Source organism: Homo sapiens, chromosome 9 (genome assembly GCF_000001405.40).
Source record: "Homo sapiens chromosome 9, GRCh38.p14 Primary Assembly".
Taxonomy (NCBI): Eukaryota; Metazoa; Chordata; class Mammalia; order Primates; family Hominidae; genus Homo; species Homo sapiens.
The window spans coordinates 42881721-42894897 of record NC_000009.12 but is presented as its reverse complement, the minus strand read 5'-3'; the positions used below and the strand labels follow the sequence as shown (position 1 = coordinate 42894897).

Sequence of the window (13177 nt, the reverse complement as noted above, 5' to 3'; positions counted from 1 at the left end):
TCATGTAAATGGAATTATACAGTATGGTAAACACACTTTTTATCTAGATTTTTATATTCAACTAAGTTCAACATGTATCCAGAACCAAATGTTTAAATTTTCTTTCTAGAAGTTTGAAAATATTTATCTTCCTTGATACTTACTACTCCTTCTGCTTTCTCTCTCTCATACTGAAAGAGACTTTCTTTTAAATGATCACATTCATTCATTAGCTTCTTACTTTTCTCTTCTAGCACGAGATCTTTCTTTCCACTCTCAATAAAGCCTCTTTGAATATTAGTTACTATCTCTTTATGATCCTCTTTCTGATGAACGTCATCTAGTTGCTGTACAAGCCATGCATTTTCACGTTGGAGGTGACATATCCTCTCTTCTACACAGTTCCACTTTCCAGTGGAATTATTCACTTTGGCTTCTGCATTTTGATACATCTCTTTCATTTCCTGTGTTTGCTGCTGTGTATGGCTTAGGTCGTTTTGTACAGTTTCTAAAGACAATGACTTTTTTCTGAGACTATCTCATCTTACGGAACTTATCTTTTAAGGCATTGAATTTAATTTGTGTTTCAGAAAGTTGTTCAGTAAGAAACTCATTCTCATCTTTTACTTTGGAAATAGCAGAACTCCTTTCTACGTGTACAGAAACATCTCGTGTTCTCTCTAAAGCAAGTTTTAGGTTTCTTTCTGTTTTCACACTTTCACTGTGTTTACTTATAGCAGCAGCCAGTCTAGACTGATAAGATTCAATGTCAGCTTCCAGTCTTTTCTTGCTTTCTTTTTCCTTCAACAGTTCGGCATTGAGCCTTGTATTCTCAGCCTTGAGATCATTAAGCTCTTGTTGATACCGGAATGCTGTTTCTGTTATCATTTCCTCATTGAGTTTTATGTACTTTTCAAGGGCAACATTTGTTTCTTTAACAATTTTAATGTCCTTAAGATATTTATTTTCTTTTTCCAAGTTGTCATTTTTCATTGTACATATTTCCTGTCTGAGTATAGCAATATCTGCCTTCAAAATGCAATTTTCATCCATCAGACCTTTCATTTCTTCATGATTATGAAAATCCTAAATAAAACAAAAGAAAGTTTTAGCTAGTACTCAATAAAATAACATATCATGATTACCTCTGAAGTTAAAGAATAACCTGCACATCCGTACACTAAAAAGTTTACCATAAGTGGATATCCACCTGGAGAAAAAGTTGAAGCAAAACTTTGAACCTTATAGAGCATAAATTCCAGAAAGTTCAGAAATGTATTTAGAGTCAATGAATTTATAAAAGTAAACACACACACGCACACCAGAGAATTTTTAAGAATATCAGAATTGGAAAAGCCTTTCCCTGAATTACAACAAACTCAAAAGCATAAATTAAAGCATTAACAAATTTGACTAAATTAAGATATATCAAAAAATTGCATTTACACTTTGATATCTAACCCATACACCACCCTATAGTAAGAACTTTTGTTCACACGTATTTGGACAGATAAAATTTCCCAGAGTTATTACAGCTCTGTTTCACTGATAACATTCTATTTCAGTTTGACTCTTTTAACACTTTTATAGTCAGTTATAAGAATTACATTCACTAAATCATAAACTAGACATTATACTAGTCATTCCTATATACATTCATTGATGAACTCATCTAGTTACCACAATTTTGAAAAAGAAATGTTAAAAATATAAGCAAGCTACAGGATTTTCCCCAGGACTTCTGACTCTACTTCTAGTTCTCCAACAGATCACAGTTACTTCTGTGGTGTAAATACGTCAATACGAAAGAAAACTTTTATTTCAAAACACCAATAGTAAATAAGATAAAATTTATAGAGCTCTTCTTAGAATATCATGAGATTATTTGTGATTGCAATAATTTCTGTTTCCTCTTTATAATATTAGGTGCAGTAATCAATATGAAATAGGGGAAAGTACAAGGAAAAATTTTACCTGGAACAAAATTTTTATCAATAGGTTATCACTAAGTATATATTATGGCATATTATTGTTTTCAAAAGCTCTTTGTAATAAAATAATATCCTATGTGGATGCCAAGATTTATAATAAATATTAATAATTGTACCTGTAAGTGTCATCATTCATTTTTAAAAATGAGATAACATTTCTGGTTTTAGACCTAAACAATATATATTAAATCAAGTGGATATTATAAGTAACAGTGATAAGATAAAGTTTAAAATATAGAATTTTTACCAAAGATTGATTTACCCGATTTGGAGTATTTCTTGCAGTCTTTGATTTCATCTCTAGTGACTGAACAGTTGGTTCAAGTTGTTTTGCGTCAACTTCTTTCTTATATTGTTTCTCTTTCCTTTCTAATTCTTCTCTATTTTTTTTGTACAGCATATTAACATTTGTTTTTTCTTCATTTTCTTGTTTTAAGGTGCATCTACAGATAAAGACATTTATCTTAAAATTCATTTTGTTAAAAAATAAAGAGTTCATCCTGTGATATACCTCTGCAGATGTTGTTTATTATCCTAATAAAATTTCTATATTCTGGATTATTTTTCCTTTGCAGTTCTCAGATATTTAATTTCTCACTTCAACATCTTCAAAAGAATGCATATACTTGAAAAGTAGTAAGGAAAGAATATTCTGCTAAAGTTTTTGTTACTAGTCACACTAATATATATTATAAAAAAGGATACCGGAGATAATTCAGTGAAGTTACAGGTTCAAAATTACCTTTTTAAATCACACAGTCATAATTACTCCCTAATTAGGAAAGATCATTTACAATCAACTAAATTTTTAAAGTTACTATTTATTGACAAGCGTATAAGTTCACTAGAAATAAATTTTCATCTTTATGAAATATTGCAGGTGTTTCTCCAAATGATTTACAGAGTGAGATGACACCTTCAGATGTCTCTCACACAAACTATATCTGCAGATGACTGTCATCCAAAACTAGGCTAAAGAGTCTAACATCTGTTTCCCCACACTTTTTATAATTCTTTCTTAATACTTTCAATTCACCTTCTTATTACATATATTTTATATATTCATTAACCTATTGTTCATTATGTGTAATATATAATTAACGCCCTTAATAAGCGTGTGTATGTTTACACCAGTTATGTTTTCCTGTGAAATCTAGTCCCAGAAGTGGAGTTGTTGAGTTAAAGGGATGTCAGGCTATTTGAAATTTTGATACACAGCACTAAGTTACCCTTCAGAAATAATTTACCAATTTCCTATACCAACAGTGTATGAGAATGCCTTTTTCCTCACATTTGCCAACACTAATAATTACTTTTTAAATATCAGCATGACTTTACAAAATATATCTTATTTTATGTTAATTTGCATTTTTCTGATTACCAGGCAGGGCTAATTACCCCTGGTAAAAATATAAAACTTGTTAATCATAAGGAATATTAGTCCAACTTTGAATTAGTTTATAGCACAATGACAATTATCTCCTGTGAAATACTGCTATAGGCGGCCAGGCATGGTGGCTCACTCCTGTAAACCCAGCACTTTGGGAGGCTGAGGTGGGCAGAACACCTGAAGTCAGGAGTTCGAGACCAGCTTGGCTAACATGGTGAAATCCTATTTTTACTAAAAATACAAAAAATTAGCTGGGCATGGTGGCACATGCCTGTAATCCCAGCTACTAGGGAGACTGAGTCAGGAGAATCGCTTGAACCCAGGAGGCAGAGGTTGCAGTGAGCTGAGATCACACCATTGCACTCCAGCTTGGGCAACAAGAGAGAAACTCCATCTCAAAAAAACAAAAACAAACAAAAAAAACCCAAAACCAAACAACAAAAAAAAAAACAACTGCTATAGGCTTACCTATCATGCTCTTCCTTCAGCTTCTTGGGAAATTGCTGAGGATACGTTTTCCCAATCTTTCTTTGTTGGGTTAATCTGCCAGCAGCAGCAGAAGATGTACTATCACATATATTTTCTGAAAGTTGTATTTTTTCACTTTTGTTTGTATTATTTCCTTCTTTGACCTTTAATAAAAGTAATATGAATAATAATTGTTATTATTTTATTCAATAAAAAGAACTTTTTCCCTGATTTTTTTTACTTGATTCAGGTTAACTATCACCACTTTAATGATAAAAGTATTTTGTGCTTACTTTAATTTTATCATTATACATAATTATTATAATTGTAAGATACTCTTATCTTATCATCGAAATTTTTGTCAAATCTGCTCATTTCTGTTTGAGGGAATAGAAGAATTTTCTAAAATTTCAAAAAGGGCTCTTCTCCATTTTGTGCTTTTATTCCCATCCACTCTTTGCTATCTGGTATAAATTTTTATGCTATCTGGCTGGCAGAAACAGAGAAATAAAAAGACACAGGCATAACATATGTCTTCTGTCTTTACTACCTGGATTTTACATGAAATAGCCAGATTAAGAGGATGTGACCTTGTAGGCCTTCAGGAACAGTAAAGAAGTTTTCCCTTTTCTGTACTGAGCTACTCTTTTCCCCACTGCCTTTTATCTCTCTTTTTTTTTTTTGAATCCTGTGATATCAAAAAAGTAAAGGTTCTCTTTGAATTATGGGAACCAACGTTTGCCACAACAAAAGAAGCAGAGTGAAACTGCTGAGTTTCTAGTGCAGAATTCTGGAAAATGAGATGCTTCCCAGATTTCACTTTCAATTACCACAAAAGTTTATAGGTGGAAAACATATGGTACAGTTACCTACTTTAACCCCATTATCTACTGATAATGGGAGTCAAACCAACCAAGACATATTAAATGTTTCATCCAGAGCTCTTGAGGTGGCATTCACTAGCATTTCATGGCACCATATAACATGATACAATTCCATATTGCTGAATTACATAAATTACCAGATAGATTTATCAAATTAGTCAGATATATTAAAAGTCTAACTTGAGCAAAGCAATTTAATGCCTCAGAGGGTGGAAAAAGGCCTCATCTGCTTTTACTTTGAAAGAAGAAAATCTCTAGATTTTTGTCTATCTTTAGAACAAAATGTACAGAACTCAACTTTCTACCAAAGAGTCAAAGGCTAAATTTTTGGCTAAGAAATTATGCTTCTTATATGATAAAATTCATACATGCCAAAACTTACCATACTTTATTAAACAACATAATGTAAGGTCTGATTCAACAGAAATATTGCAGAGTGGTGATTTTTTAAAATATGTGTAAGTATATGTTTGTTTTCAAAAATATTGGAAATAACCATGATGGGACTGTAAGTTCAAACAGTTTGAGCTAAGCAGATAAACTTGCATGCATGAAAATACATTAAACAGACTCATTTGGCTGGGAATATTCGTTGCAACTCTCAAGGCTAGACGTGTTTTTGTGGCTTGTCTCAGTCATTGCTTCCCTCCCATTGTATTCCCATTCTATCATTAAATAAATGTAAATCATCTCTAAATGAATACAGAAAAAAGAATCTAGAATCTAGAGCTTGTTTCTTTAGCAATTTCTTTATGTTGATCTGGTTCAGAAGGTCACATGGTGTATGGCTGAATTAGTTTCCCAGCTCATACGCCACTTGGAAGACTGATAGTGAGACATAGGTTGATTAATGAACAAACATTATGAGAACATTCTCCAGAACCATTATTTAGATAGCAGAACTAATCTACTTTGACACATAATTACACATTTAGATAACCCCACTGTAACTGTACACATGAGATTTTCTTGAATAGAAAATTTGACTAAATCAAATAGTTGATAAAGAGGAAAAAGAAGCAGCAAGTGAAGCTCTGTCTTTTTGAAGTTGGACTTGCTTTTCTCCAAAGCCAGGAACTCAACTTGTAACATGCCTACCTCATTCTTTTTTTTAATTATTATTATACTTTAAGTTCTGGTACATGTGCACAACATGCAGGTTTGTTACATATCTATTCATGTGCCATGTTGGTGACCTTGGAATATCTTCCCATAAGTCTTCTAGCTATATTTTTGATGTTCTCTCACTATGTGGCAAAGAATAACTCACATTTTATAATTCAAGATTCATGCTTCTGTAGTTGTTAGCACTGGGATTGCCATATAGTGGCTGCTGGAATAAACGCTGTATTGGTTTTCTGTTTTTGTAAGTATCTGTAGCAGCAGAAATACTGTGGCTTTCTATCTGAATCATATGCTTCATTTCTTTGGGGTGGGTAAACAACAAATCAAAAAGACTTTCTGGATCTCTAGACTGAGGCCAATGCCTAATGTCCAATTTCCAATTAGTGGTATCTGGGTTTACATTTTTTGCCATTTGCATGTCAAACTCTTAATCATCTTTCATTTCAATCATAATTACTGGGTTCCTTAATTTTTTGGTTTCTGTATCATTACAAAAATTTTCATCATCTGTGTTAGAAACAAGCTATGTGTCTGGTTTGCTATCATTTTTATAGTCTGATTTATTTTCATTTAAATGAAGCTTAGAAGATGACTGGTAACTGTATTTCAGGGACCTGGAGTATGAATGGAATAAAAAGACATTTGACATGGGCTTCTTCTGTTCAGGCGCTGCCTGGAATGCCACAGAGTTAGACCCTCCAGATGCATCTTCCTCCTCACAATCAGGGACCTGATTCATCAGATTAGAGGGCACTCCTTTTTTGTTCGTCCCTCTTTAGAGTTACTATGTAGGAGCTCTTCCTCAGGGCAAGCAGTAATTCTGGAGTTTTCAAAACTTTCACCAATATTCAGCTTGAACTTGTTTGTAATGAATTTTAAAGAAAGTCGTGAATATACAGATTATTCCCTTTATCACAATTCTTACCCAGTTCTGGTTCTTGAGACTTTTTTTTTTCGGCAGGTGCAAAATGGAAAACAAGTTTGCTTGTTTTATTTCTCAGATGTCTTTTCTGTCAGAGTGCATGTTTTAAAATTAGCTTTAATCAAGTATAAACAAAAATACTAGAAAATAATTAAAATTTAACTGTGAAACTTAATCTATGTGTTGCCACTCTTAAATTATGGGATTGTAACTAAAAAGTGAAAAATAATTTGCCTTGGCTTAACATAGGACAGAAATATGAACTGGCAAGCTGAACTCTTAGCATTTGTTTGGATTAAACTTAATGCATTATGTGTAAAATCTACCAGAAATGAATTCAAAGCTGATAGGTAGTATTATAAAATCTTCCTCTCTTACAAAGATTTTACCTCAGCATACCAGAAAAAGTGAGCCCCTACAGTACGTGTATATTTCTGAAGATTAACTAGAGACTAGGCAAACACTGAATTATTAAGAGCCAAACTGAACACCAATAAGAAAGGGAAGCAAAATTTTAAATTCTAATTCTAATAATATACTATGATAGTGTTATGTATCTAGATGGATTATCTGCTTATATCCACTTCTAATATATTTTAAGTTCCACTAGTGATAGTGGATGGATTTTTTAAATTTTAGTAACATTTACTATGTATTTATGTCAAAATAAAGTTATTGTTTGTACCCTGACACCAAAGGTCCCATTCCACAAGGTAGGATTCTCTTAATAGGCAACTGGGTTGACTTTTATGACCCCATTCACTCCCTGAACACAGACACAGAAGTCAAATGGTGACCACAAAACAGAATAAATCTTTAACCTCGGCACTGGTGACCAGCAATATAAAACTGCAACATTTGAACCACTGGCAATGATGACTCCTTTAACACTAGTTTAACTCAGTGGCCATTGTGGTTAAACTGTTCATAATTTCTATTCCTTAATAATATGACCCAATATTTCATGTTACCTTCTGTATTATGAGTAAGGTTATAAAAATAAAAGAGCAAGATAATTCTGAAAATGTCTTGCCTCAATTCCAAGGGTAAAGATAGCTATGAGTTACTAGAGATAGTAAGAATTACCAGAATAACGAATAGTTACTAGAGATAGTAAGAATATCTTAAGTTTCATAACTGGTTAAAATGTTTTAAAAATTAAATATAAAATTATGATCTATCGGATTCTAAAGGTATAGTCTAAAAGGTCATGTCATTTGGACTATGCTTTGTTACTAAAGCAAAAAAGCAAAACCCAATATTAAACAAGAAACTTAAATTTTCATATACCTGTGGTTGCTTCTTTTCACTTCTTTCATGCCTTTCTTGCTCTTCCTCTGAAGCCACTGGTAAGGCTTGTTCTGTTGACAAATTCATTGGTTTAGTTCAAATGAACTAAGAACAGTTAGATAAAGACTATATATAAAAATAAATAGAGAATAACATTTCTTTGTATTTTATATTTTGAGAGTTTCAATGAAGCTTAATGTTTACTGAAATATTTAGTTCTTTAAGAAATACTTCTAATCATCCAAAACTTCAACAAACCACTTGGGGAGACACTAGATATCACCAGGTTCAAGCCATATGAAATCTCAGGGTCACTCACAAATTGTTCCACCCAACATAAATCAACATAACTGTTAGAAACAAAACAAAATTTTGAAATACAGTCAAAATATACAATGTAACACTTTACTATACTTCATAACTATCTTTTTAACAAGACACTAATTGAGTTGGCAGTTACTAATAATTTGCAAAATTATTGTTGTTTATACCTTAATTAGTGTGCACCCCATTTTTTACATCGCAAATGTTTTCCCCTACTATTCTGAAAAATTTATTTTCATCTTTTAAGACTCAGAAAGTAGGCTGGGCATAATAGCTCACATCTGTAATCCCAGCACTTTGGAAGGCCAAAATGGGAGAATTGCTCAAGGCCAGGAGTTTTAAGACCAGCCTGGGAACCATAGATAACCTTGACTCTATAAAAAATTGGACAGGTATGGTGATATGTGCCTGTAGTCCCAGCTACTCAAGAAGCTTAGGTGAGAAGATCCCTCGAGCCCAGGAGTTTGAGGTTGCAGTGAGTCTCGATCACACCATCGCACTCCACCCTGGGTGATAGAGTAAGAACTTGTCTCCAACAACAAAAAAAGAAAAAAAAAAGGCTCAGAATGCTGTGTGAAGTCTTCCTTGATTCTAGCTATCTTTCTCCACACACACAGGTGTCTGCTTCATTGGAGTCCCTTAGTACTTTGTCAATTTTTCCAGTGTCACTTTACCACCTGAACTGCACATCATGTCTTTACATGTTGATCCCCTTTGCTGCTAGACTGTAGAGGACAATCTTTTGAATCATCTTTGTATAAACAGTCTTAATTTTGCTAAATAATTACTTATTGAGTTCCTGCTAAGTGTTAGGCACTGGGGTATAAGGAAGGAAAATAAAAGCTGTCAGGGATGGCTTTCCTAAAGATCATGCATGAGCTGAGACTTAGAGAGTAAGGTTAGCCAGATTAAGTGAGGCAGAGGGCAGGAAAGGGTGAGCACATGCCAGGCAGCAACAAGAGAGGGAGAGAAGCCTCCAAGAGAGTATGTATTTCTCTGCAAAAGAGGAATGGTGAGGGGGCCATTACCAGCAGCTCAGTAATTCCAGAGAAAAAGGCAGATGGGGAAAGGGCTACAGATGGAGATTTGGGCAGAAATCAGTTTCCTTTTCTTTTCTTTTTTTGGGACAACGTCTTACTCTGTCTCCCAGACTGGAGTGCAGTGGCATGATCTCGGCTCACTGCAACCCGGCCTCCCAGGTTCAAGCAATTCTCCTGCCTCAGCCTCCCAAGTAGCTGAGATTACAGGTATGTGCCATTACCACCTGCTAATTTTTGTATTCTATTAGAGATGGGGCTTCGCCTTGTTGGCCAGGCTGGTCTTGAACTCCTGACCTCAAATGATCCACCTGCCTCAGTGTCCCAAAGTGCTGGGATTATAGACACGAGCCACCATGCCCAACCCAGAAATCAGTTTCTGAAATCCTTATACAAAACTTTAAGATGCTTGGACATAGGTATTCAGGAGTGGTTCACAGATCTATTTGCATTAGAGATAATTAACTCTAATTATTGTGAGGAGCATAAAATCCTGAGGCATATAAATCAATGAAGGAAGATAAAATATAAGGCAGTGTTGCAAAGATGATGCAGGCCTGAGGAGATGTTTTCAGAAATATTTAGGATATAAGTATCAGTGGCCATTGTAAGAATGAATTTTTATTGAATGAATAAATGTATATATCTGGGTCCCTGGAGAAATACACTCTGCTCATTACTTTACAAATTTTATCAAATGAGAAGTAAAATAATATACATAAACTGTTTCAGTTACTTGTATTTACTTTACACTTTTTCTGTTTCAGTTTTACTGTGCCAAGGAAATGCATTTGGGTTTTGTGGTGGTTGTTGCTGTTGCTGTTGTTGTTGTTGTTGTTGTTGTTTGAGATGGAGTTTCACTCTTTCTGCCCAGGCTGAAGTGCAGTGGTGCAATCTCAGCTCACCACAACTGCTGCCTCCCAGGTTCAAGTGATTCTCCTGCCTCAGCCTCCCGAGTAGCTGGAATTACAGGTATGTGCCACCATGCCCAGCTAATTTTGTGTTTTTAGTAGAGATGTGTTTCTCCATGTTGGTCAGGCTGGTCTCAAACTCCCAACCTCAGGTTATCTGCCCACCTCAGCCTCCCAAAGTGCTGGGATTACAGGCACAAGCCACCGCGCCCAGCCACATATGGGGATTTTGTTTTAAAAGTTCTGTTTCCTGGATCTACCAAGCTCATGAGAAAATAGAAGCAAACAAGTCATTTGCATAGGTAAGAAACTTTGGATTTATACTTTGTCATCACTACTCTAGAAGATTATCATCATGTTTTGTAAAATAAAATGTTAATTCTAGACATAAGGGGAAAGAGAAATTAAAACTATAGGGGTGAAAAAATATTGCATAATTTATTACTGTTGACCTGACCATATGACTGATTAAGGGCACTGAATTTAACTTGTATGTGAAGTAGACCCCATATTAGCTGCAGTTAATCAATAGACCAGGTATTCTAGCAGAATTAAATTTGATGCTCCTGTGTTATCTTTAAATGATACAGCTCTTCTGAAAACCCATACTTATAGTGCACGATTATCCATTAAGACAAGGTGATGGAATGTGTGAATACAGCTGAGGAGACACCACAAGGCAAACGCTCAATGTTTCCCATTAATATTGGGGAAATCAACATTATAATACAGAAAGCCATAGGCATTATTTAATATTTGGTTTTGGAAGGTATTTTTAGTGACACTGCATACAGTTGTACCTAATAATTGCAAAATTACAGATGTAAAAATAAAACAAAGGCACATTGTGTTTGAGTAGGAAATCTGTAGACGTCTAGCTGGTTTTCTATTCCAGGCCCAAAATTCTAAATACAATCATGGTACCCGCACACAAATTTATGTTATATACCAACTTCAGTGAAATTACTCTTTCTCCTCATTCTCTTTGTTATTTATATGTTGCTTTCCTTAAGGGAAGAATACAAATGCCTTGCTAAGAAGCATTCTGTTTGGTTGTAGGCTGCATAAAGGGAGTAAACACAAAGTACATTTGACCACAAAATGACTTTTTAAAAGCCAGAACTATGGTAGCATGAAGCCAACTGAGGTAATCTAGAATAAAATTTTCTATGTTTGTTTCCCTTCTTTGCTCTCTTTCTACCCTAATAACTGTGATTCACAGAGGCAATGAAGAGTATAATTCCCTGATAAAAACACAGCTCCAAGATTAATCCTTTCTTTAACTATGAAGTTCGCGTGTCCAAAGTCTTGTAGTTGCTGTCTGATTTTTGATCATGAATGGTGATACAGATATTTATCAACTCACAACTTCCCAAATCTTTGAAAAGTCTTACTATTGATGGTTCAACTAGTAGAAACATAATCTAAAATATCTGAAAATAAAGTTTTTATTAGAACGTAAATAGTAATACAAATTGTAATAAGGTTTAAAAGTTCTTTCTTCACTGAAGCAGAACCATGATGTCCTCTACCCCACAAACACACTACTCCCTCATGGTCTAATGTATTTTAAAAGTCCTGTAATTGCTATTAACTCAGACAAGTTTACTTAACTTGTTCTAAGCTTCTGTTATTTACTACAGTTTACTTTATCACTCAACAATCTCTATTATATATGTGTTTTCCATGAGAAATTTTTTTATTAATAATTAGGATTCTTCAGGGATAAGAAAATATTTGAATAACTAAGTTTGTGCATAAACACATTAAGGTCAAATACCCATGACAATATTGTGTGTTTCTGTGTACTAGAGACAAAAACTTCAAAAAAATTTTTAATGAATATACATTAAAAACTGCTTTCATTAAACTGAGATGATCTTCCCTCAATGCATGAATACCTTCAGAATTCACATAGACCAAAGAATTGTATAAAATATAATAGCCTTAAAAATCTTATTTGTACCTGGCACAGTGGCTCCTGCCTGTAATCCCAGCATACTGGCAAGCTGAGGCAGGCAGATCACCTGAGATCAGGAGTTTGAGAGCAGCCTGGCCAACATGGTGAAACCCCATCTCTACTAAAAATAGAGAATTTAGCAGGGTATGGTAGCACATGCAGGTAGTATCAGCTACTCGAGGGGCTGAGGCAGGAGAATTGCTTGAACCCGAGAGGCAGAGGTGGTAATGAGTCAAGACCGAGCCACTGCACTGCAGCCTTGGTGACAGAGCAAGACTCTGTCTCAAAAACACAAACAAACAAAACACCTAATTGTTCCCACATCTTAAGTCTATGTTCACACAAGATCTGAAGAGTACACAACACCGTGAGACAGGACAGACATAAATTTTAAAAATTATATTCCTGGTTTCTGTAAAAATAAAACGGTTGAATTTAAGCTTTTAAGACAAGTCAAGGAAAAGAGCAAAAAATGCAAAAGTGAAACTTGAAAGGTCATTTTCCCATCAAGGGCTCATGATCCACTGGACATTCACAAACTATATTGTTCAAAACATTAGTTCTGAATTTTGATCTGAGTATCCCTGGAGTTGCAGTTTCATTCAAAGATGTCCAAGAGGTCAAATAAGACAATATCATTTGCTATTTTCAGTTTTCTTTTCTGAGAACAGCACAACAAACTTCTTCAGAGAAATGAATTGTCCTAACTTCATAGGCTAAAGGCTCATGAGTCACAGTTCTAAGAGCATTTATAAAATATGGTGGTGCATGCTTGTATTCTGAACTTTTCAACTTTAAACTCTCATATAGTAAATATTAATAGATACAAACTGATTAAAGAAAAGCCCACTTAATCTGACATTTTTATTTTTCTTTCTTTCTTCATTTGTCAGCAA

At 34.3% G+C, this 13177-nt stretch overlaps 1 protein-coding gene and 1 pseudogene across 7 annotated transcripts in view; both read right to left on the bottom strand.

The window, feature by feature from the left end:
* LOC112268044 (ankyrin repeat domain-containing protein 18B-like) overlaps nucleotides 1-231 on the bottom strand; it is a 60842-nt gene extending 60611 nt beyond the window's left edge. For all 7 annotated transcript variants that reach the window (XM_047424292.1, XM_047424291.1, XM_047424293.1 and 4 more), the window contains exon 1: nucleotides 144-231. The gene's annotated coding sequence lies outside the window, so the exon portion shown is untranslated. The remainder of the gene's footprint in view (nucleotides 1-143) is intronic.
* The window catches only part of ANKRD20A7P (ankyrin repeat domain 20 family member A7, pseudogene), a 43177-nt pseudogene that overhangs the window by 842 nt on the left and 29158 nt on the right, over nucleotides 1-13177 (bottom strand).